The 24,403-nt window shown below is 57.0% G+C and overlaps 3 protein-coding genes and 1 long non-coding RNA gene across 20 annotated transcripts in view, besides 3 other annotated features; 2 read left to right on the top strand and 2 right to left on the bottom strand.

The window, feature by feature from the left end:
* The window catches only part of CCDC13 (coiled-coil domain containing 13), a 69,136-nt gene extending 63,812 nt beyond the window's left edge, over positions 1-5,324 (top strand). For 5 of the 6 annotated variants that reach the window (XM_011533418.3, XM_005264898.4, NM_144719.4 and 2 more), the window contains one exon: positions 303-3,686. In XM_011533418.3, coding sequence (XP_011531720.1) covers positions 303-462 — 160 coding nt within the window. In that variant the 3' untranslated portion in view covers positions 463-3,686. Of the gene's footprint in view, positions 1-302 lie in introns of all 6 variants that reach the window. The other variant, XR_940385.1, reaches the window with a different exon arrangement.
* On the bottom strand, positions 2,677-6,901 carry HHATL-AS1 (HHATL antisense RNA 1). The gene is made up of 3 exons (NR_146957.1): positions 6,713-6,901; positions 5,210-5,293; positions 2,677-3,395 (listed from the first exon to the last, which is right to left on the bottom strand). It is a non-coding gene; the product is annotated as an HHATL antisense RNA 1 (long non-coding RNA).
* HHATL (hedgehog acyltransferase like) lies at positions 6,644-16,779 on the top strand. Of its 12 annotated transcripts, none has more exons than XM_011533969.3 (13): positions 6,644-6,863; positions 8,252-8,310; positions 8,603-8,721; positions 9,617-9,684; positions 10,297-10,410; positions 10,540-10,734; positions 11,091-11,300; positions 11,763-11,934; positions 12,297-12,441; positions 12,565-12,600; positions 15,624-15,825; positions 16,224-16,365; positions 16,567-16,779. In XM_011533969.3, exons 2-13 carry the CDS (start codon positions 8,255-8,257, stop codon positions 16,689-16,691), a joined length of 1,584 nt encoding a protein of 527 aa, XP_011532271.1. In that variant the 5' UTR covers positions 6,644-6,863; positions 8,252-8,254; the 3' UTR covers positions 16,692-16,779. The 12 variants fall into 12 exon arrangements, 11 of the variants coding, with proteins under 11 accessions (XP_011532271.1, XP_016862425.1, XP_006713337.1 ...); XM_017006936.2 differs by having other exon boundaries at positions 8,252-8,330; NR_027753.2 differs by lacking the exon at positions 6,644-6,863 and adding an exon at positions 7,921-7,975 and having other exon boundaries at positions 8,252-8,330.
* Positions 7,859-7,928: a silencer, noted in NCBI's record as "silent region_14249". NCBI's record gives its function as "represses an Ori minimal core promoter by ATAC-STARR-seq in GM12878 lymphoblastoid cells {active_cell/tissue: GM12878}" and the evidence as "EXISTENCE:reporter gene assay evidence [ECO:0000049][PMID:35858748]".
* Positions 12,416-13,018: an enhancer, noted in NCBI's record as "H3K27ac-H3K4me1 hESC enhancer chr3:42737916-42738518 (GRCh37/hg19 assembly coordinates)". NCBI's record gives its function as "activates a minimal SCP1, AML or CMV promoter by ChIP-STARR-seq in naive H9 embryonic stem cells {active_cell/tissue: H9 hESC(naive)}" and the evidence as "EXISTENCE:reporter gene assay evidence [ECO:0000049][PMID:30033119]".
* KLHL40 (kelch like family member 40) lies at positions 16,898-23,905 on the bottom strand. Its single transcript, NM_152393.4, has 6 exons — positions 22,672-23,905; positions 21,140-21,300; positions 20,725-20,832; positions 20,388-20,573; positions 18,437-18,583; positions 16,898-17,560 (listed from the first exon to the last, which is right to left on the bottom strand). The coding sequence occupies exons 1-6, from the start codon at positions 23,821-23,823 to the stop codon at positions 17,449-17,451; spliced, it is 1,866 nt and encodes a 621-aa protein (NP_689606.2). The 5' UTR covers positions 23,824-23,905; the 3' UTR covers positions 16,898-17,448.
* Positions 21,158-21,382: a silencer, noted in NCBI's record as "fragment chr3:42729552-42729776 (GRCh37/hg19 assembly coordinates)". NCBI's record gives its function as "represses an EF-1alpha promoter that drives an FKBP-Casp9 reporter gene in an ReSE screen in K562 erythroleukemia cells {active_cell/tissue: K562}" and the evidence as "EXISTENCE:reporter gene assay evidence [ECO:0000049][PMID:32094911]".

The raw sequence follows: 24,403 nt of genomic DNA, 5'->3' as shown, positions 1-24,403 counted from the left end.
AGTTTCTCACTACGTTAAACCTTTTAAGACCCCACGCAGCCATGGGAAGGGAAAGACGGGAACCTCTACAAATTGGAACTCAATTTGTAAGGGGCCTTGAGGTAGCTTACATTGCAGGGAGCCAGGCCCATAGAGAGGAATCCATGGTACCCACAAGAGTCAGTGAGAGGAGGGGATGGGTCAGAGGGAAGCCTGAGCCTGAAGAGCAGCCATGCTGGCAACCACATTCCCAGGGCCCTCTGTCACCCACGCACACCTGTGTGCAGCTCCAGCCACACTGAGCACTGTCTCCTGTGGTCCAGGCTGGCCATCCAGGTGGAGGAGAATGAAATGCTAAAGGCTGCCCTGGGCAGTGCCCTGCGGGGAAAGGAGGAGGACTTCCGGATGTACCATGAGATCCTGGGCCAGGTGAAAAGTGTCTTCCTGCAGGCCCTGCGGCAGCAGAAGACAGGCAAGCAATAGGATGACAGCCCAGTGTCGGCCTGGCCGGGTGGGCAGCCTCAGGTCTTGAGAGGATAAGACTCTGTCTGAGGACTCCATCTGCTCCGGGAAGCCAGCCCAGGGCAGCCAGCTCAACCACTTCTACCAGAAGAGGCTCCTTAAGGATGACCAAAACCAATGTCTCAGGCCAGGAAGGCAGAAGAGAAGCCCTGGTGGGACACTGCAGGAGACCCTGGGCTGGCTGGGTTACAGCAGCAGGGAGGCCCAGCAGCCCACTGGCAGAGGCGAGAGCTCTGGGATGGCAAGGCGGCTGTGAATGGACAGATGCAGTCCCTCGGGCAGGTGTTCATCGCCCTCATCCTAGGTACTAGCCCTGGATGTCCCCATGGCTTCACACACAGAAGAGCCCTTGGTTACCCTAAGTGGGCATATCCCCCATGCCACTCAGCCCTGCCCTATCCCCTCACCCCCATCCCGGCTCCATCTGTAGCCGTCCACACCCTACACAGACTTGGGGCACTATGCTCTCAACCAGTTTGTCAGCCCACTCCTCAGGACACTTCCTCAGGTGCAGACCCTTGGACTTGTAATAATAATAAGTATTTTCATAATCACTGCAGCTCCCAGTGAGTGAGCATCTACTGTGGCAACCTGACCCCATTCAGTCCTCTAATGACCCAGGGGTTTGTTGTCTTATTTGACAGATGAAGAAACTGAGGTTCACAGAAAGAAGCTGAGCTAATATTTAACTGCAGTCTGCCTGACCCCAAAACCAGGGTCTTGCCGTTCAGAGATTACCCAGGGTAGGCGCACCCACCCACCACTGAACAACCCCACCCCTAGGCAGCAGCTCCAAGAGGCATCTTTGTTTGCTCACCAAGACTGCTGATGGATGCTGGTGGCAGAGGGCCGAGGTGGGGCTCAGCTGGAGCTTCAGGCAGAAGGGTTTTGAGGTAGTGGCTCCAGTCAAAGGTACAGTGCACCTCCCTCGCCATGGTGAACTTGGAGGGATGCTGCAGGGGCACCCTAAGATCCGCAGGCCTCTATGACTGTCAGTGTTGCCCTTTCTCAGCTGTAACTATGCACTTATAGCTACAGGAAGGAGTGGCCCCAAGGAGGGTCACTCATAGCCACACACCCCAACTCCGACACCCTGGCCACACAGGTGCACCCACAGCCCCACACAAAGATGCAGATGCACACACATACCTCAATTCAGGAGCATGCAACTGTACGTGCACACAGGCACCTCCATGTGTGCACACTCATGGACACACAGGTGCAGATGAGCACACACATGTGGATGTGGACACACATTCCCACACGTGAAGACATAGCCACTTGTGTGTTGCTTGTGCAGTGATGCACAAATGCAGGTGCACATACTGTGAAAACACCCCCTTCCCCAGGAAAAGCCACTGGGGCTCCTGCGAGCATCTTGTCAGCTCCTTCCTTGGAAAAGCCACTGCGGCTCCTGGGACCCTGTCTTCTCAGCCCCTTCCTTGGGGATGGGGCTATGGAGGGACCCTAGCTGGCCCCCACTCCTCAGGGAGCCCCTGACCCTGCATGGGGTCACACGGATCTAGAGATCCCACAGCAAGTTAGAGCAAAGGCCACCGGGATGAACTGATGATTCTGGTGGGGTCCTAAGGGTCTCTGGGAAGGAAGAGTTTTTCTCTGGTTCCTTGTGAAGGAAAACGGCCAGGCAGAGAGCCAGGAGAGAGAGGGTCTGTGCTTGGAGGGGACAGTGTGTGACAGCGAGGGGTGGGCTGGATGTAGAGTCTGAACACAGAGGAGTCAGCACCTTCTCCTGCAGGCCCTGAGGAGCTCCAGAGGGTGATCTGAGTATGAGGGGTACAGGCTCTGGCCTCAGTGCAGTCCCAGGGAGTGAGAAGCAGGCATAGGATCAGCCATCCTTCCTCAAGATCACCTCAGGGAAGTGCAGAGATGGTGTGACCCACACTCCAGCCACTTCAGGGTGGTTCTGCTGCCCTTCCTGGGCTATGCCTGAGAAAGGAAGGAGCATTAGGTCATGGAGTCTGGACAGGTGGGGCTGCCTGGGGCATACTTCTCTCCCCACTTACCAGCTGTGTGGCCTTGGGCAAGTTATTTAACCTCTCTGATCCTCCACATTCTCATCTATAAAATGCAGACAATAATAGAATCCTCCCTCAGGGGGCTGTTATTAATATGTATGTCAAAGAATAACCCAAAGACGTTTCACTAATTATTAGCTCTCTGTTTATTTCTGTACAAGGAACATGTATCTATAGACTGATTTCAACAAGAGTTATATAAGAGAGAGGGGAAAGAAAAACTGCAGACAGGCAGGCACAGGAAATCTTGTTTGCACATTTTTGGGTAAACTGATTTGCTGGTGTCTTGCTTTGGCCAACTCTGTATATAAAGATGAGTGTTTCAGCTTTCAGATTCCACGGGCAACCTTGACAGCATTGCTGTGGTGCCATGTGCGGGAGTGCCTGTCATGTCTGCTGGCACCTACCACCGGGCACCTCCCCACCCCTAGCTTGGTTAGATCAGGTCTGCTCCATTCCCTCATTGGAACCCTCTGCAGGGTTCACTGAGATAAAGTGTCCATTGCTTACAGCAGCTGCTCGCACACAGTAAGCGCTTAATAATTATTCGCTCTTAGTGTTCCCTCCATTTGTTCAACCAGAACTTGTTGAGCAGTTCCTCTGCCCCAGGCACAGAGGTGCCGAGGTGAGGCAAACACAGTCCCTGGCCTCCAGGAACTCTCAGATCAGCTGAGGAGAGAGACAGACTGGTCACAGGTCACCATTCCATCCAGCCAGTCGGCCACCAGGCAGTCAGTGAGTGCCAACAGCATGCCAGCCTCTCCAGGCCTGGGAGGGACCTAGAGGTGAATCTGACTTGCTTCCTCCTTTCAGGGAGTTTCCAGTCCAATCAGAGGTGTGGGAAACGCCATGATGGAGCTGGGTGGGGAAGGATGCAGGACCGGGCTGCAGCACCACAGGGCTTCCCCCACCATCCCCACCCCATCCCTGTGGCAGTTCCCAAGTTCCCAACCTCCTTGATCAGATCTGGGTAGAGAGGGGGCTTCACATCTCCCTGAGGCAAAGGAGCAAGGAGGAGTAAAGGGAAGGTGGGGAGAGCCTGGGAGAAGGATTTTCAAGGGAAGGAGGTCATCAAAGGGGTCAAAGATAGGGACCCTGAGAAACCTAACTTAGGTGGGCCAGGTGCACAGCCAGGCAGCTGGTCTGTCCAGGTTAGTACCAGTGCCTCTCCTGGGTAGCACCATCTGTCCTGGGCACCCTGAGGATGACCTCCCTGTCCCTCAGGCAGGTGGGCAACAGGTGTGCTGGATAAGACACCAAGGGCCCTGGCCAGATCCACGAGGAGGTAGTTGGAGGGGAGGGTGCAGGTGCCCTGGCGGGTTGAGGGGCAGGGGCAAGTAAAGAGTTAAGTGGTGAAGTTGCCTCAAGTGAGGGCTCTCCCTGCCACACCCCAGGCAGGTGCTGCAGGTCTTGGTGCTCAGGTTCCAGCACTGACAGGTGAGACCTGGCTGAGCTGTGGACGTAGTTTGGCCACTGTCCCCACAGGGGCCTCTGGGGCACCACAGCTGAGCTGGGCAAGGTTGCAGCCTGGCTCAGGCTTAAACACACTACATTGTCACTGGGCCCCTCCCCTGCTCCCAGGAGCCCAGGGCAGGGTGACCTCCAGTGGGTGTGCTCCTCTGCACCCCCACACCCAGGGGCCAGAACAAGCTTCTCCTCCCCACCCCCAGCCAGCCCACAGCCAGCCCTGAGCACAAAGAAGTCGGCCTGCCCACCTTCTCCCCACAGGTGTGCCTTTACGTACACTGACTCTCCTATATCTGTGAGCCTTGCACACACACAACACACATATACACACGTATGTACGATACATGTGCACACACAATACACAGGATACACATACACAGCAAACACATGCCATGAACAACCTACAACACAAAACGTACACACAGACCCACACACAACTGATACAAAACACAGTTGCACACGTACATGCAAACACACAGGATACTTTCCTCGCATTTTTACTTTGAGCAACAACCAAACAAAAAAAGTCTGAAAATTGAAAAGGGACTCAGATTTGAGAGAATTGTCCCCACTCCCCACCATATCTTTCCTAGTGGCCCTTGTGGCATTTGGGAAGCTGGCCCCAGGGCCAAGTGCTGGTCTTAGCTCAGTCAGCTTCCTGTCCCTCACGTGGGCTGGCCTTGCCAGGTGCCCTCCCCTGCCACCCCCCTCAGACACAGTGGAGCTGGCCTCAGGCTGTCCAACCACAGATCCATGGGACTTCCCTAGCCCTCCACCCCTCTTGCCATTTCCGCACACCACACTCCCTGCAGACCCTGCTGTGTGTGGGTCACCCAGGGAAGGCCTCACTTCTGAGTGTGAATCCAGCCTTTCTGGGCCTCTGGGGGTCAGGGTGTCTGTGGCTCTCTAATAGCCTCTGTTTATGAGCAAGGCTCTTGTCATGGAGTGAATCACCGGATGCCCCCTGCCACCCCAGTGAGGGCCAGGGCCAGCGGTATGCCCATTTTACAACTGAGGATCTGAGGCCCTAAGAAGTGGGTCACACCAGCTCAGGGTCAAGTAAATTGGCTGAACCTGTGTTCTTAACTCTGGGGTCAAACCACCCTGTCTGCTCCCTTGAGCCATTTTCTTGGAGCCTCGTGAGGGCCCCAGTGTGGGTGCACGGGGTTGTCGCCCCTGCAGGGCAGTCAGTGCCAGGAGCTTACAGGGCTGATCCAACTACTTGGCTTCCTCATGTGCCAGGTCCTTCTTCTCCCAACTGCGTACAGTGGCAACATCTTCCCTATGGGCTGTGGTGACATTAAAAAGTTAATCCATGTACATCCTGGCTACTATGATTAACTTACTCCTAACAACCTTTGACTACCCCTCCCTGAGGAAGCCCTCCTTAACCCTGAAGTCTGGCTCAGGTATCCTTCCCTTCCTGATGCTGGCCTCTCTAGTGCCCATTACCCACCACAGCTCTAACCCAGCACCCACACTGTGCAGTAGTCACCATTCATGCTTCTCAGGGTCGGGGACCACAGACACGGGCCTCTGTGTCCTGTGTGGAGTGTGTAGGTTGGGCGTCTCCTTGCTGTTCTCCAGGCCAGCGTGTCTATGTGCTCGGGAGGCAGCTCCCTGCCTAAGTGCAGTCTCTCCCCTTCCTGGGCCCTGATGGGTGGGGAGCAGCACCTCCCTCCTGCCTCCTCAACTGAGCCTGAAGCTGGGGTCATAGGATCAGCAGGGGCTCCAGGAGCTGTCCTGTGACTGATCACAGCCACAAAGCTCCTTCTACCCCCGAGAGCCTCCCCACAAGCACACAGGTGAACAGGTCCCCCTAGATAGCACAGACACATACAGCTGCCCGAGACTTGGCCTCAACCGAAGGGGCACTGTCAGAGGTTCTTAATCTCAGGGGCACCTTCAGGATGCCCCTCCCCTCAGGTATCCAGGGCTGAGGCCTTGGATGCTCCCTTCCAGAATGAGGGCCCTGTCCTACCAGGACTCCCAGTTGGTTAGGAACACACCTGTCTTCCTGTCTGCCTCCACTCTGCCACCGAGAGGATACCAGCCATTCCAAGTACCCACAAGCCTTGCCAAGTGACCCTGCTAGCACCCCTCCATCCAGGACACTCCCTATGGGACAGGGCTGACTTATGGGGATCCCTCTCAGCCACATGTCCCATGCCAGTTCCAGTCCCATCAGGCAAGTCAGCCCTCCCTCAGGCACTGATGCATGGCCAGCCAGGACTCACGGCATAATGAAAAGGACCAGGTCATGGGGCGAGACAAGTCTGCCCTGGGATAGCCCTTAGGAGGTCATATGTAAAGGTAGGAGCTGGAGTCCCTGGAGCCCAAGCATGAAAGTGTTTGCATGTTGTGACTGTGTGTGTCTGTGGTGGGGGCAGGGCTTACAAGCCTGGAGAGGCTGGTGGGACCACCAGGAGTCTTCCTGGAAGAGGGAAGTCCTGGGTAGCAGTGAGAGAGAGGCACAGGCTCTCTAGGAGCCAGGGGAGGCAGGCTGAAGAGAGGCCCAGGTGTCCCTGTCTGAGCCTATGCTACTGGACACCCTCCCCCCACCCAGCACCCGCCCCCCTTCAAGGATCCTCCCTGCGGCTCCCTGTGGCCAGCAGCTCTGCAGCACTCGGCTCTGCTCCACTCTGCTCAGCTCCGCTCCAGGAAGGCCACCTCCTCCTCCCCCTCCTCCTCCCGCTGTCACCACTCACCGCTCATAACCTCAAGGGGGTGGGGACCCCAGGGCTGGACACACCCCACCGTGGCCCCAGAGCTCAGCCGGTCGCACGGACGGACAGTTGGAAGCCGGACCCCAGAGCCTGAGGTGGGCAGTGTGCCAGGGTCCCTTGCGGCCTCCTCAAGGTCAGTGCCAGCTGGGGATGCAGCTACTCTGGGGCTCTTGAGACTTGTGGGGCACACCCCAGGCCCTCATCCCAAATCACAGGCCCCAAAAGGGGCTTTACCCCCGGGGCATCTGGGGCAGGCAGGACCAGGGGAAAGGGTATGCCCCCGTGTCCACAGGCCAGCCCTGGTCTGGGGGTCTATCAGGAGAGGCCCCAGGCTGGGGGCCAGCTCCTTGCAGAGGCCTCACTGGGGACACCCCGCACCGGCCATGGGGAGCTAAAATTGGAAAGTGGCGAGTGGGAGGCAGCTGACAAAGCTATTTCACGGGCTCTTCACCATGCTCCGGTTTCAAGCTCCTGCTCCATTAACCTGATCCCCAGGGCCTCTCCACCCCCACCCAACTGATGAGGAGGTGCCTCCACCCTCAGGCCGACAGCACAGCCATCAGGCTGGCAGCCTCTGCTGTGGGCAGGGGCAGTGGTGGTCTTCTCTTACCCCAGATTCCAGAGGGGGGTCACTGAGAAACCCAATCCTGAAGGGAGGCAGGCAGAAGTCTGTCCCAGGTCTGCCATGTGACCTTGACAGGTCCCTGCCCCTATCTGGCCCATGACCCCTCCATCTGTACGAGGAGACCGTCGGCTGCTGGGGGGCCCAGGGGAGATGGCTACAGGGCTGGGGATGAAGATTTAGGGGAGGATCAAGGGTGGGCAAAAGGGCCACATCAGCCACCTCTTGGCCCCGTCAGCCCAAGAGTTGCCTGGACATGTTCCCTGCTTCCTCCCTTTAATTTGGGTCCTATGTCTGTATCCATGGAGTCCTTGGGAAGCCCCTGAGCCAGGCTGAAGCGGGATAGGAAGGGTAAAGGTGCTAGCTGAGCCGTAGTACGGCCCAGCAGTTCTCCAGGGGACAAGCTAGGCCCCCGCTGGAGGGAGTGGTGAGACTCAGCCGGGGCCTGATTCTGGTCAGCACCTTGGACAGCAGCCAGTGCCCTCCCTGGCCCCGCCTGGCCCCGCCTGGCCCCACATCCGCTACTCCTGGGCACCTCCTCAAATAGCACAGCCTCCAGCTGGTGCCCAGGGCCTGAATACACAGAGCGCTGAGAGAGTGGGGCAGTGTGGTCACGGACACAGGCAGGGACTGGGATGTGACAGGCTGGAGCTCAGGGACTTGTTGGGGGAATGGGGGTCAGTGACAGGCTGGAGGCTTAATGCGAGGATGGAGGCTTGGCTCTAGGGGCAGCACCTGGGGTGGTCATGGGATCTCAGGGAGGGGAGTGGGAGTCAGAGAAAGGGTCTTAGAGAAGCTGGGGCTTTGTGAGGAGCTAAGGGAGACTCACTGATCGAGGTGGGGACCCTGCAGGCAGAAACCTGACTGTAGTGATAGAGGTGGGGTTTCTCCGCACGCAGGTCATGGGGGCCTTGGCAGGAGCGGTTTTGGCAGAGGGTGGGGCCGGTGCCTCTGGAAGGTATGAAGATGTAAATGAAGGTGAGGGAGGCAGGCTGCGAGTGAGGGCTCTGCGGGCAAGAGCCTTGATGGGTGGGGTGGGGGCAAGAGCAGCAGCTGGGATGGGGCACTGGTGTTCGGTGGCCTGTGAACTGTGGGGGGCACAGGGGCAGGCAGAGTGATGGTACAAGGTCCCCAAGGGGCTGGAGGGGCAATCTCTCTTCAGAGTGGGTCCCCACTGGGGTGGTGGGACCATGAGGTGGGGCTAGGCTTGGCTGGAGACTGTAATTCCCTCACCCAACCTGTCTCCCCAGCCCTGTCCAGGCTATGGGCATCAAGACAGCATTGCCGGCGGCTGAGCTGGGCCTCTACTCTCTGGTGCTGAGTGGGGCCCTGGCCTATGCTGGCCGGGGCCTCCTTGAGGCTTCACAAGGTAATGGCTGTGCCCCGGGGCAGGTGGACAGGACCCTTCTTCCCCTGGAGGCCTCAGGGTTCCAACCAGCAAAGCCAGAAAGTTACAGGCTCCAGACCTAGGGTACTCCTTCTAGAACACGGCTGGATCTCCCTTTTCAGCCCGGGGTTCCCATCTCAGATAGTCACTGGAGGCTGGGTGGAGCCAGGTTCAGTCACAGGAACACAGAGATGCAGAGACACTGACAGAGAGATGGACACAGAGTCACACACATAGACACACACACACACACACACAGAGGCCTGGACCCAGACACACACACACAGAGACCTAGACCCAGACATACACACACACACATCCCGACACACACACACACACACAGAGACCTAGACCCAGACACACACACAAACACACAGACATATACACACACCCCCCAACACACACACACACACATACACACACAGAGACCTGGACCCAGACACACACACACAGAGAGAGACCTGGATGCAGACACACACACAAACACACAGACATATACACACACACCCCAACACACACACACACACACACACACACAGAGTCCTGGACCCAGACACACACACACAGAGACCTAGACCCAGACATACACACACACACATCCCGACACACACACACACACACAGAGACCTGGACCCCGACACACACACAAACACACAGACATATACACACACACCCCAACACACACACACACACACAGAGTCCTGGACCCAGACACACAGCGAGACCCAGAAAGAAGCAGATGCAGCACCAAAGAGACTCAGACCCGTGCCCCGTTCCTGATGCCCTCGCTCCCCAGGGTGGGGCAGCCTTGTCCACGGGGGAAGGTGGGGCAGGGGATGTGAAGGCCCCTCTCCCTGAGGCCACACTCTGTTCTCAGATGGGGCCCACAGGAAGGCCTTCCGGGAGTCTGTGCGACCTGGCTGGGAGTACATTGGCCGGAAGATGGTAGGTCCCCCACATCCCAGGGTCCCTCCCATCCCGAACCCTTCTCTGCTCTCTGCTGTTCCAGATGTTGGCAAGTAACAGAGAGCTTCTCACAGCTCTGGGGCCTCTGGCTTGAGCTTCAGTGCCTTCAGCTTCTTTACTGGCCCCTCCTGTATCCTCCTGGGACATCAAGTTTGCCCGGGCCCTGCTCACTTGGGAAATAGGTCGCATTAGTGGAGTGTGCTTCAGTGGAGCCTCCAGCACCTCCTTCCCAGAAACAAAGCAGTAAAGGGGGAATGGCAGGCAACGTGCGGAGGAGAGGGGGAGCTTCAAGCGACCCGGCAGCCCCCATGGTGCCCTTCACTCCTCTCTACCCTCCTGCCTCGGTACTTCCTTCACAGAGGAGTGTGGAGACCTGCAGGCACTGCTCTTGTGTTTGCATAAAGAGGACACGTTGGGTTTGGCTAGTGGTAAAAAATAATTATTATTATTAAATTTAAAAATGATAATAATAAAAGAAGAACATGAAGGCTGGGAAAGGTGCTGGGGCTCTGACCAGCCCAGGTTCCAGCTCGTCCTGTCCCCTCTCCCACCCTCACCTGCCCCACCTCCTTCTGCCCCGGACTGCCCCAGGATGTGGCTGACTTCGAGTGGGTGATGTGGTTCACCTCCTTTCGCAACGTCATCATCTTTGCCCTCTCCGGACATGTGCTGTTTGCTAAACTCTGCACGATGGTTGCCCCAAAGGTGAGCTGGACCTGGGCCACCCAGCCTCTCCCTGCCAGCTCCTCTTTCACCACAAGGGTTGTGGGAACCCCCTCCTGGGGTCACGCCCCCATTTATATGGCGAAACTGAAGCCTTCTCCCTGCCCACAGCTCCGCTCCTGGATGTATGCTGTGTACGGGGCCTTGGCTGTGATGGGCACAATGGGCCCTTGGTACCTGCTGCTGCTGCTTGGTCACTGTGTGGGCCTCTATGTGGCCTCGCTTTTGGGCCAGCCCTGGCTCTGTCTTGGCCTTGGCTTGGCCAGCCTGGCCTCCTTCAAGATGGACCCCCTAATCTCTTGGCAGGTGTGAACTGGTGCAGGGGTAGAGGGTGTAGGGATAAGATCCCAAACCTCTCACTTCATCCAAAGTCCTTGCACCCCAAGTATCCCCAAGTATTCCCTTCACTTTCCACCTGTCTTCAAGCCTTTGGGTATGTCCTGGCCACAAGGTGAGCACCTGCATCACAGGAGGAACTATCCAGATCATCCCCTGCTCCTCGCATTGCTGGGATAGAGCAGTGGCCAAAGTTAACTGGCTCTGGAAGAGAGGAAGGGACAGGACCAGGCTGGGCCCCTGTGGGAAGCTAGGGAGTGGGGAATAGGTTTTCCAGAGACAGGAGGCACCCTAGTGAGCTGGTGGCCTGTTCTTTCCCCCTCCAGAGCGGGTTTGTAACAGGCACTTTTGATCTTCAAGAGGTGCTGTTTCATGGGGGCAGCAGCTTCACAGTGCTGCGTTGCACCAGCTTTGCACTGGAGAGCTGTGCCCACCCTGACCGCCACTACTCCTTAGCTGACCTGCTCAAGTACAACTTCTACCTGCCCTTCTTCTTCTTCGGGCCCATCATGACCTTTGATCGCTTCCATGCTCAGGTGAGGGGACACCCTGTGGGCTTCTAGAACAGGGCTGAATCTCCCTTTTCAGATTGGGGTTTCCATCTCAGATAGAATTCCCCAAGCAGGCTGTATCCCCATCCTCAGGCATGATTCCAGGATGAAGCCGTGTCTCCCCTCCCTCCTCAGACCCCAGGATGGGGCCACCTTTCCCCTCCAGCAGGGACCCCAGGGTGGAGACATGTCTCTTTTCTCAGACAGGACTCCCAGGCCACGAATGTTCCCTTCCCACTCAAATGGGGCTCCCAGGACAGAACTGGGTCTCCCATGGCTGGCTGTGAATCCTCCTCAGACTCCAGGGTGACCTCTGTCTCCACCCTCAGGCAGGACTCCTGGATAAAGCCATGGCTCCTCCTGCCCCAAGTAGTTGGTGAGCCCCCCTCAGACAGGGCTCCCCAGGCAGGGCTTGCCTCTTCCCTCAGACCCTTCGCATCCCCCCAGGTGAGCCAGGTGGAGCCAGTGAGACGCGAGGGTGAGCTGTGGCACATCCGAGCCCAGGCAGGCCTAAGCGTGGTGGCCATCATGGCCGTCGACATCTTCTTTCACTTCTTCTACATCCTCACTATCCCCAGCGACCTCAAGTTCGCCAACCGCCTCCCAGACAGTGCCCTCGGTGGGTCCACAGAAGAGAAATGGGGGCAGGGCTGCCGCCCCAGGAAAACAGACCCTCTGCACCCCCACGGTGCCACAGTCAGGGGAGCTGAGGCACGCAGGGCACAGCACCTGAGGGCGTGGGAGCAGGGGCTTATTCTTTCTAATGCATGGGTCTTGGCATTAGCTTCATCCTGTGGGGCCAGAGCAGCATCCCACGGACCCCACCCACTTCACCAGGCATGACTGATTTCCACAATATGGGGGGGTCTCCGTGGGGCGGGCAGAGCCTGGTGTCTCCCCAAGGAAGTGGTGGGACAGGGTCTTCATGGGGGCAGGCCCCAGGCGATTGGACCCCAGGCAGTGACAGTGCCCTGCCCCCAGCTGGCCTAGCCTATTCAAACCTGGTGTATGACTGGGTGAAGGCGGCCGTCCTCTTTGGTGTTGTCAACACTGTGGCATGCCTCGACCACCTGGACCCACCCCAGCCTCCCAAGTGCATCACCGCACTCTACGTCTTTGCGGAAACGTGAGTGCTGGCCAGGACGGGGGAGGCTCACCCCCTGGGACCACACCTTCCCCTAGCCTCTTCCCCCATGCCTGGGGAGCTCTGCGCCTGATGGCAACATGCCCATCTGCTTTCCTCTTACAGGCACTTTGACCGTGGCATCAACGACTGGCTTTGCAAGTGAGTAGGAGTGGGGTGGGGGTGGTCACAGCCATCCTGCCAGGTGTCTGAGCAGGGCAGTGCCAAGATGGGTCCACATTTTAAAAGATCACCCCTGGGCCAGGGGAAGCAAAGAGGGCAGTGAGGAGGTATTGGCAGAGGTCTGGGTGAAAGATATAGAAGTTAGGATTTAAGTGAGGGCCCTCGAGGTGGAGAGAGGTGGTGGGAGGAGGGTCACACAGTCAGCAGCCTGAACAGGACGTGGCCATGAACTGTGGGTGTTGGGAAGGAGAAGGAGATGACGCTCAAATTGCTGTCTGCAGCCTGGGAGGATGGAGGGCAGTTTCCAGAGAGGGCTTCAGTTTAAGAAATGTATAGTCGCAATCTAGGAGACATCCCTGTGGAGGTTCAGGGAGGTGGTTGGGTCTGAGGGTCTGGGTTTCTGAGGGTCCAGAGGACTGATGGAACTCAGAGCGTCCTGAGTGTGGGCAGGTGGTTTTTAGGCTTTGGGAGTGGGTAAGTCCTCAGGAGAGGGAGTGGTGTGAGAAGAGGAGAGACGGGGATGGCCGAGATTCAGCCTGCAAGAGCTCTGCTTGGAAGGAAAAGGAGCCAGCAGAAAGGACTGGAAAGAGTAGTTGGAGGGGCAGGAGAAGAATCAAGGTCATGTGCCACCCTGGAAGCCAAGGGAAGACCATCCAGGCATGGTGGGGACAGCTTGGTCAGATGCCACTGAGCCTCAAGGAAGCTGGAGACCGAGGATTAGTGCTGGTGACATGGAGGTTTTCAGCCTTTCATGGGCAAGGCAGGAGCAGGTAAGGAGGGAAAGTCAACTGAGGAGTAGAGAAGTGTGTGATGACTCCTGGAAGAAGCCTGGGACTGCAGGGGGAAGACAGGAGTGGCTGAGGGAGAAGAGGGATGTGTTAAAGATAGGAGAGAATGGGACATGCTAAGAAGAATTATTCAACAGAGAAGCTGGGGATGCAGGATACAGGGGTGATTGATGGAGTGAGGTCCCTGAAGAGGAAGGAGGTGAGGGTGTCTAGTTCCAGGCGGAGGCCTGGCTTCAGTGGGAGGAGGAGGAAGAGAAGCCAGTGTGGATGCAGAGGAAAGCAGGTTAATGTAGACAAGTAAGGGATTCCACCTGAAGGCTTCAGCCTTGTCCATGAAGCAGGAGGCACGGCCATCAGCTGAGAAAGCCAGGACAGGGACGTGGAGAGAGGCAACATATATGCTTACCCCCACAACCCAGCCTGGATCCCCCCACTCATACTATCTCTCCACTCATACTTGTGGGGAGATAAGAATACAGTGGCCCTTGCAGAGCAAGGGAGAAGCAGCTGACTAGAGAAATCTTGGCACTGAGTACCCAGGTGGTATTGGAGGTGGTGGGCTTATGAACTCCAGCATGTGAAGATGTGAGATTTCCCCCATGGGGCTTAGCTGCCTGGGTGTAGCTGAGGAGAAAGTAAGTGATTGGGCTCTCCCAGATGGATGACAAGGAAGAAGTCAGGAATAAGGGTTTTTAGATTATTTATAGTCATGACTCATTGGATATAAGCCTGCTAAGGACGGTGGTGAAGGTGGGAGGGTCACAAGATCAATGGGATTGAAGAACTGAAGCTGGGGGGCCAGGAGGTCAAGAGGAGTTGGGCAAAGAATGGGAATTAGAAAGGAGTGAACTTTCAAGTGGTGACAAAGTTGGGGCATGGCCATGGGTGTGGGTGGCTGAGGTGGAGTGGAGAAAAAGCCATTGGAAATGAGGAGGTCGAGGAATGGAGAGGCTGGTTATTCCTGGGTCTTCCACAGAACTTATTTAACAAATATTTATTGAGCACCTATGTGCCAGGCATTGTTCTAGGCACTGGGGATACAGCAGTGAACATGGCAAAGACCCTGAACTCATGGAGCTTACAGTCTAGTGGGGAGAAACAGACCATAAACAGGTAAACAAACATAAATAAGATAATTTTAGAGAGTGGTAAGTGTTATGAAGAAAATAAAATTGCAATGGGATAGAAGTTGACAACAGGGTAGAAGCTTCTTTAGTCGGGGTCTAGGCAGGCTTCTCTGAGGAGATGATATTTGAATTGAGATTTGAGTGATAAGGAGATGTGGAGCAGAGAATACCAGGTAGAGGGAACAACAAGGGCAAAGGCCTTGAGACACAAACCAACTGTGTGGGTGTAAAGGTAAGAAAGGCCAGTGAGGCCAGCATGATGAACTGGGGGAGCATGGTGGCTGATTTGGTCAGGAAGGGAACAGAAACCAGACCACTTGGGATCTTCTAGCCAGAGTAAAGAGACTGAGTTTATTCCTATTGTAATGGGGAGCTATTCAGAGAGGTTAATCATGGAAGTGATGTGACCTGAGCTACACTCTTAAAAGATGCCTCTGGCTGCTGTGTGGAGAATGAACCATGGGGGCAAAAGCAGAAACAAGAAGACCACTTAAGAGGCTCTTGCAATAATTTATGTGAGAAGAGTGATCATCTTGACTAGGGTGGTGGTGGTAGAGGAGGTGAGTGGTGGTCAGGACTGAGAGGAGCCAACAGAATTTGCTGGCTTGCTTGGATGTGGGTGATGAGGCAAACTGAGAATCCAAGATGGCACCAAGGCTTATACCCTGAGCAACTGAATGGATGGTGGTGCCATTCACTGAGATGAGGACGGAGCTGGGTTTGAGCAGGGATAGGGGAATCTGTCAATCAAGTGACATGGCTAGTAGCAATTGCATATACAAATCAGGAGAGACTGGGCTAAAGACACAGATTTAGGGGTCATCGTCATAGAGCTAGTACTTGAAATCTTGGGTCTGGATGAGATCATTTGGGAAGTAAACGAACAGAGATAGAGAAGCTATAATGTCCCAGGCTGAGCCTGCCACAATTTGAAGTTGGTTGGAGGAGGAGCTGCTACGTGAGGTCAGGAATGTTGAATGCACCCAGGGTGACAGTGTTGAGGAGGACGCCCTGTTGTGTGTCCTCTCCCATCTCATCCCTGCCCTTTCCCACACTCCCAGTGGCCCTTCTCCCATCTTTCCTGCAGATATGTGTATAACCACATTGGTGGGGAGCATTCCGCTGTGATCCCAGAGCTGGCAGCCACAGTGGCCACATTTGCCATCACCACACTGTGGCTTGGGCCTTGTGACATTGTCTACCTGTGGTCATTCCTTAACTGCTTTGGCCTCAACTTTGAGCTCTGGATGCAAAAACTGGCAGAGTGGGGGCCCCTAGCACGAATTGAGGTGAGCAGGGAAGACCTGGGGCTGGGACTGGCTGGGTCATAGAGGGCGGGGGGGCACTGCTGCTTTCTGGAGTTGTCCAAACACCTGGCCCCTAATCCAGAACTTTCTCACCACCACCCTCTTAGTTGTCAGAGCAATGGCTCACTCTGTAGGAATCTGCCCCTCCCTCCCTTCTATGAGGAATGGAGCACCTGGGCCTTGCCATGTTGGTCAGGCCTTGTCCTCTCTCTGGACCTGTTTCCCCATGTTTAACAAGGAGGGAGAGCTGACCTGGGGCTCTCCGAGACCCAGACATAGCCCCAAGACCTGACTGGCCAGGTGGGTAAGGCTGCTGACCCACCATGTCCTCTTTCCTTTGGCCTCTTGTCCCGCTGCCCATGCTTTCCTGGACCGGATAGGCCTCTCTGTCAGTGCAGATGTCCCGTAGGGTCCGGGCCCTGTTTGGAGCCATGAACTTCTGGGCCATCATCATGTACAACCTTGTGAGCCTGAACAGCCTCAAATTCACAGAGCTGGTTGCCCGGCGCCTGCTACTCACAGGTGAGGGACAGGGGTGTGGGGATACAGAAGGTGCCAGGCATCAGCCTCAAGGACCGTGACCTTCCAAAATGCCTCCTATCTCCCTCATCACCCCTGGGACTCAGAAGGGAGGGCCCATCAAGCGGGGAGAGGGGTGGGAAGACAAAAGTCGCTGAGGATGCAGTGCTGCTCCTGAGCATCTATGACTCCCTCCCCACACAGGGTTCCCCCAGACCACGCTGTCCATCCTGTTTGTCACCTACTGTGGCGTCCAGCTGGTAAAGGAGCGTGAGCGAACCTTGGCACTGGAGGAGGAGCAGAAGCAGGACAAAGAGAAGCCGGAGTAGGAGGGAGCGGGTAGAGGGATGGGCTCTGCTCAGCTATTCTTGGGCCAGATGGGGCCTGACCGATAGAATAAAAGACTTTTCTACAACAGCTTGGCTGTTCCCTGACCCTTCTTCCCACAGTCCCCTGGCTCCACGTCCATAGTGGCTGAGGAGCTGGAGGCTCTAGGCCTCAGGCAGGGGAGGGTTCCCACCCATAGGGTGGAGGGGACACCAGATGGAGAGCAGAGACCATCGACCTTGGCAGCCCAACAGCAGAACACTGAAGCCCCAAGTCTTCAACACACCTGCTCACTGACTCTTGGAGCACTGATGCAGACCCTGAGCTGCTTGCTCAGAAGGCACTTTATTCTTCCTAAAGAAGGAGACATATCTGCACTGTACACTGCACTTGATGGGGATGCTCCCATCGGACAGACGAGAAGGCTGAGTCCTGTGGGGAACTTTGCCAGCACACTCAGCTAGGCTGGGGCAGGGCCAGCACACGGCCTGGGATACCGCCCTGTGGTTCTGGTTCATGGATCAAGACAACCTAGGGGGATATGGCAACACTGGAGAAGCCTCTAGTTTCTCACCCTTGCCCAAAAGTCCAGGACTAAGCAGCACTTCCCTTTCCTTGGCTGACGCAGCCCCTGAGGCACCATAACTGGATCCAGGTAGACTCTGGCCTCTCCTAGCCTCTTTTCTGGAGCCCCCACAAGGCCAGGCCAGTGAGGGTCGCAGGATGGGAGGGGTGCTTAGTTCAGTCTGCCTGAGCTGGTCACATCTTAGTCAGGCACAGCACATTGAGCCGCACTGGTAGGAAGGTGGCACCTGCTGCATAGGCGATCTCCCGCAGGACACCCTCCCATTTCTTCTCCTCCTCGTTATACCTGGGGATGAGAGAGAGTGGGGACAAGGATGGAGAGCTTGGTCAGCTGAGTCCAGAGTGGAACGCAGCAGAGAGGGGTGGCTGAGGGCACTTGGCCCATCTCTAGGGAGATCTGCTCCTGAAAATCCCCAGGCTCTGGGAAAGGAGACCCCCCACAAGACCCACCCCAAGGAACACCCACCCCACACTCCAGGAAGGGTCTTTCTCCCCAGGAAAGATCACCTCTCAAGGGGTGTTCCCATATTCCTCAAAGTTCCCCTCCAGGAAGGTCTACACTGCCCACACCACCCCATCAATGTCCTCTCCTTGAGAATTTCCATGCTCCATTTCTACTAAGTCTCACGTCTCAGCCTCCGGCAGCACTGCTCCCCAGGGGCTGCCTGCAGCAGTGCAGATGGCTGCAGGTTCAGGAAGGAGATGCCCCAGAGGCTAAAGTTTCCTTCTCCCACCCCCACAAAGGACCAGCCATAGAGAGCAATGGTTCTGAAAGGCCAGGGCTCCAACTGTTTCCCAGCCCTAGTGGCAGCCCTCCCTCCAGACCAAGCACCCGGAAGGCAGGAGAGAAGAAAATCCGGCTGCTATTTGGGCCCTGTTTCTGTGAGTCTATGACCTAAGCTTGGGTCTGCTCCCATCTGCAACACTGTTGCTGCTCCACAGTGGGGCATGGTGTCATCTGTGCAAGCCCAGACTTTCCCAACAAACTGGTGAGAAACGGCCAAGCAGGGTATGTTGGCTATTCCTCCCTACAGGACTCCCTAGAAGAGGGATCCGCTTTGCCCCCAGAGGAGCTTGCCCAGTGCCTTGGTACCCCACCATGGTGCTATGGGGTGTCAGCCTTGCTCATGATGCCCCCTTGCCTCCCCAGGGTGGGACTCACCTCCAGATGTCATTGAGCTCTGTGGGAACCAGCTCTCCAGACTCCGTCTCCAGTGTGGCAAAGCCACCAATGGCATAGAGGGTACCCACCAGGCTGACCAGGCTGAGTGAGCTACGCTCCTGTGGGAAGGCCTCGAAGGGTGCCCACCTGGGGGTGTGTGAGAAGGTGCATCATTGGGATGCCTCGGCAAGCCCAGTGACTGTCCCTGCCACCCAGCACCCACAGCTCCAACTGCAACCCTTTGCAATCCAAGTCCCAGGCACCCATGCCCCCAACCCCATTCCCCTTCCCTGTCCCTCTGGTCTTCCCTTCCTTCCCCATTCTCTTGCTCCTCCACTTTCCTTTCCTTGTCCTCTTGCCATTCTATCCAACCTGTCCAGCAAAGTCCACCATGGATCTCCCCACTGCCCCTACTCCTCTCCTGAACTAACTCCACCCTCCAACTCACAACCCCAGCCCCTAGCAGGCCCCCAGCCTTGCCCTGGACGCAGTCCTTTTGCCCCTCAGCGGCCCCTGCAGCCCCACCCACCTTGCACACCTGCTCTATCCTTCTTCTCCCTTCACAGCCCAGTTGTTCTCAATGTATCTTCGCTACCCTGGCTCCTGCCTTGGGCCTTAGTCCCATCCTCCAAAACTGACCTTCCTGAGGTCCACAGTCACTGCACACGCACTGAGGTCCTACAGCACACAGCCCTGCTGACGTGACTTTCCTCACCCATCTCTTCGGCCTCACCTTCGTGGCCTCCTTCCTGGATAATGCAGCTGCCTCCACCATCAGGGCTTGGACCTCAGCTCCTCCCATTTACACTCTCTCTCCTGAGGGAGCTTGGCCCCTCCGTGTGCTACTGACCCCCAGATCTCTCCCTCCAGCTCAGCCCTCTCTCTCCCGGGTGGGGTCCTTTTGGACACCCCCAGGTACTTCAAGTCCACATGTCCTAACTGGACCCTCACTTTCCCTACCCAATCCCAATGATTATCCAGTAAATGGCCTCCCACCCTCACTCAGAAGCATGTACTTCTCCCCCTCTCACCCCCACATCCAATCAATAGCTAAGCCCTGTTTCTCCCACCTCCTAGACTCTTGCTACTCAAAGTGTGGTTCATGGCCCAGCAGCGTCAGCATCTCCTGGGGGTGCGTTAGAAATGCAGACTTACAGGCTTTCAGCCCTCCGCATACCGAGAATCAGAATCTGCACTTTAAGGCGATCCCCAGGAGATTTGCATGCCCATCACAGTGTAAGAAGCCCTGGCCTGTCTTTGTCCGGTGCATCCCCTCAACCCCATCTCCGCTGTGCCCCCAGCTCCAGGCCTTTATCACCCCTGACCTTCCTGACCCCTGGGAAATCCCTAATCTGCTCTCTATATCAGTTGCCATGAAGTACTTTAGTAGAACACAGATGAGATACAGTCCCTCTCCTGCTGGCCCCCGCTCCAGCCCCAGCACCGCCATCCCAACTCCATCACCCACCCACCTCCACCCAGCTGGAGCAACACCTTCCCTCCTATAGGCCTTGAGTTTTTTCTCCAAACTGCCTCAGCACCACCTTTCCTTAGTCTGGGGCAACCTCCTCCCACCACCCTCACCCCTTTTGCGAGCTGAGTCCAACTGTCTCTCAGTTCAGTTTTCTCTTTTCTGATGTCCCAGGCAGGGCAGCTTCTGTCTTGTTCACTGCTATATCCCTTGCACCAGGCCATTGCCTGGTATGAGTCCCTGAATGAGGAACCTGGCATCCCCTCCCCCAGCCCTGGGAGCCCCCTCCTGCAGACCAGGCTGGCCATAACCCTTGCCCCGCCTCCCCACCTCACTGCTGATCAGGAGAGAAAGCCTATTTCTATACTGATGTCCAAAGTCAACACTGGAGACCCAAGACAGGGACTGCAGCTCCTGCTGGGGCTGACAGAAGCCCAAAGCCATGCAGTTGTCCTTGGCGGAAGGGACAAGCTTTCATACTTGTTGTCTGTGATGCTGTACACTTCGGCAGAACTGGTCAGCCCTGTGTCGGTGACCCCAGCTGCCACGATAATGCGGCCATCATGGACAGTGGCCCCAAAGAGTGAGCGGGCGGTCTGCATGGGTGCCAGCTCCTTCCACTCAAACTTCTTGGGGTCATAGACGCACATCTTGTTCAGGCACTTCCTGTGGGGTGGAGGGTGGGGATGGGTGGAGAGAAGCAGGAGCCCAGCCACGCCTCCCTGCAATCACCTGCCGGGGCAGCCAGGACAAACCCCTGACAGCCTCTGGGAGATTCTACCTCTGCTCCACAGACTCACTCCAGGCCCAGCCTCACCTGTCACTGCCTTTGCCGCCAATTACGTAGACAAGGTCCATGTGGGAGAGCACTGTGTGGCCATACACCACGTAAGGCAGCGGGTCCGATTCACCCCATTTGAATGACCTGGAGGAGACGGGAGTGGGGGTGGGGGAGGGCACCCATCCAGGCTCGGCTCAGTCCCTGTCTCTGCACCCATCCGCCCATCCACCTAACACATATTCGAGATGCGTCAGATCCATTGCTGGAACTTCCGAGGCCTCTCAGTTCTTTGATCCCACCCTGCCCCCCAACCTCCCCGCCCTTACCCAAGCCCACCTTCACTCTAAGCACAAGGCTCTAGCTCCAAATCCCACCCCAGGCCCTAGACCAGCTGCGGCCTCCATGCCCCACTCACCCCCACGGAGCTCAGCCCCACCCCAGCCATGCTCACAGCCTGTCGTAGCACATGACCGAGTCCAGGCAGCGCTCGCCGTCCTTGATCTCTCTGCCACCGACCACGTAGATGGAGTTGAGAGCTTCTCCCAGGCCAAAGAGGCAGCGGGGCGAGGGCAGCGGTGGCATCCCCAGCCACTCTGAGTCCAGATGGTCAAACTGCAGGCCAGGTGTCCAGTCAGCTACCGCCCCCCACTCCCCCAGCCTCAGCCCAGCCCCACTCAGTCCCACTGCCCCAGATCACGGAGGAGGTCGGGAACCCAGGTAGGGCCAATACAGCCTGGAGGTGCCCTGAGAAACAGTGCCCCTCCTACCATCAGGCTGAGAGCAGATGAGCGTCCCCCACACCCAGGCAGGCTCCTGGCAACCACCATTATAGCAGGCGGTAGGGCACCACAGCACAGAAATGAGGGGGAGCTCTGTGAGGGAGGTCCAGCTATGGCCTTGCTTTCCCAGGCTGAACAACTCCCAACTGAGGCCTGCCTGCCCCCTCCTCTCCACCCCATCCCACTGTTCAGGAAACTTCCAAATACGGCCCTGCCTTTTCGCCCTGTAAAATCTACAGTCCACAGCCTTGTCCACCTCCACAGCTTTATAATTAAGATATTAATACTAGGGGTTCATCTTTTTGGAAAGTTTTCTGAGGGCTGAGCACCTTGCTGATGAGCACTTTATAAGCATCATTTAACCTTCCAACAACCTTATCATGCAGGAAGGAGAATATCCCCAGTTACAAACAGAGGCCCAGAGAGAATAAACAATGTGCCCACACTGCTGAGCTAGTAGCTGGTGAAGCTGCCCTCATCCCCCAGTGCAACCGTAAGGCCTGTGAGCTTAACCCTGGCACCAAGCGCCTGTCACCCCTCTTGCTGATCAGGCCTCCCTGAGCACACCACTCACCAGGCTCAGCCCCAGTTCTATCCCTTGCTTACCGTTCCTTGGCCGGAAACACTGCCATCTTCCCCTTCACATCTCCAAATCCCACCCCACTGGCAAGGCTCAAACTTATATGGCCAGTCTCCAGGAAACTGTCTCTGCCCTTTGAGATCTCACAGTCACACCCCAACTCAGACCTGGCACTCCACTCTGCTGATACCTCCTGGGCCTCAGTTTCCTCATCTGTACAATGGGAGGACCATACAGGATTGTTCCTTTGTCTGGGACACTGCTGTGAGCTCCGGGCCTGGCCTTCACGCAGAGGCCCTGCCCAGGATCCTCACACCGACCTTGCTGCTCCTTACTGTGCCCCACCCCAACCCCTGTGCAGGGCCAGGGCCTCCAACATATGCCAACTTGGGGCTACCACACCCCTGAAATTAAGATACCAAAGTTATGCTGCTTTTTGGCAGCTGCCTATTGACTGTCTTCAACCTTCAAGTAGGTGGCTATCAGTCAACCTCCCCAGTCTACATCTCACCCTAGACCCAGTGGCATTCACTTGTGTAGACACAAGCCCCTTCTGGGCCCCAAGACTGTCCACAGTGCCTAGAGCCCAGCATTAGCTGGCGGCTCCCAAGGCTGGTCAGGCACCTGCAGGAAGTATGCGCTCATGGGGTCCTCTTTGTTGTCTTCGTTGTAGAAGAGGCCTCCAGCCACGAAGACCTGGTTCTCCTTGGTAACCAGGCTGACGTGGTTCTTGGGGACCTGGTTGGAGAGGGAAGCACAGTAGCACTCGTTGGCTGCTGGATCGTAGGCCACAGCGCCCTCCTCACTGATCATGAAGATGAGATCCTGCAGGAACATGCCGAAGCGCAGGGTGTCATTGAGGATCCCAGGAAGGATACGTTCGGCCTCCTCATCCTCCTCTGCTTTGGCTTTGCTTGTGCCCTTATCAGCCTCCTTGGCCCCGGCTCCATCCTTCCCCTTCTTTTTCTTCCGCAGCGTGGTGATGCGGCCCTCGTGTGCATCCTTCACCATCTGCACCTTGCGCAGCAACTCGGGCTGGGCACGCACGAGAGGGTGGCGCTCCACGCGGCTTTCCAGAAAGGCGCGCGGCAGCAAGCGGCAGCGCACGCTCTCGAAGACGGTGGGCAGCGCGCGCTGGCGCTCAGCCTGCGCCTCGGCGTCGCCGCTACCCGCCCACCGCATCACCGCCTCGAACACTGCCTCCTCCTTCTCCACGTTAAGGCCGTCGCTGGAGATGATGGCGATGAGCTCGTCGGCCGAGAGTCCGAGGAAGTCAGCGTCGCGCGCCACCAGCGTGAAGTGAGCGCAGATGAAGTCGCGGGCAGCCACGGCGAGACGCGCGCAGTCGAGCAGGAGGCCGAGACGGAAGACGGCCAAGCAGTTGGAGAGGCACAGGCGCTTCTGCAGGAAGGACACGCAGATGGTGAAGATGGAAGGGATCTGGAAGCGGTGTGCCGCGGCGAACAAATCCTGCACGCTCGCCTCATCCAGCGCGATCTCTGATGTGTACAGGTAGTGCAGCACCTGGGCCACCACGTCCGGGGACACCTCCTCCAGGTGCAGCTCGCCCGCGCGCTCCGGCTCGGCTAGAAAGCGCGCCCGGAAGTAGGGGCTGCAGGCGGCCAGCACCAGGCGATGGCACGGGAACTCGCGCTCGCCCGCCCGCACCACACAGTCGAGGAACTTGCCATGGTCCAGCATGTCTTTGAGCCCGTCTTGCAGGAGCGTCTGCTGGTACAACCGCTGCTCCTCCGCCTGCTCCAAGCCCAGCGCCATGGTGGGTGGCCTAGGGTGCGGTGGCGGTGCCAAGGGGGCTCCTCTCTGTACCCCTGCTTTCCTGCTGGGGTTTGCTTAGACTGAGCAGCTGTCTTCGAGGGGCTATATATAGAGGTGGCCGGGTCCCTGTAAGGCGAGCCGCCTGGCCTCCTGCACATGACGCACAGGGGACAGCTGGGCAGAGGCCCCCTCCCAGAGAAAGACTTGACTCAGCCCCGGGGGCTTATGGGACGGGGGTGGGGTGTCTGGGCCCTTCTGAAAGATGAGGGCCTGGCTGCCTCATTTCTAAATGGAGCACGGAGAGGTCTTGACTCTGGATTCTTTGGTCAGGAGATGCCCCTAGGGGAGAAGGTGGCCTAAGCTCTGACCCTCAGTCCAGAGACGGGAAAGCACTGGAGCCTCTCTTCCAGGGTCTCCCTTCCTTCATGCTTTCTGGGAACTTCTGTCCTGGTGCCTCCATCTTCCCCCCCGGAATATGTCTCACTCCAGCTACCCCTGGATACAGGGTGCTTGGGTTTTCTGGTCAGAAGTTGGACATGGTGTTCACTTTTTGGCGGCCCTGTTGCCCTGCCTTTATTTT

Source organism: Homo sapiens, chromosome 3 (genome assembly GCF_000001405.40).
Source record: "Homo sapiens chromosome 3, GRCh38.p14 Primary Assembly".
Lineage (NCBI taxonomy): Eukaryota > Metazoa > Chordata > Mammalia > Primates > Hominidae > Homo > Homo sapiens.
Note: the sequence above shows the minus strand (reverse complement) of the source record. Positions and strands in the feature narration are given on the sequence as shown.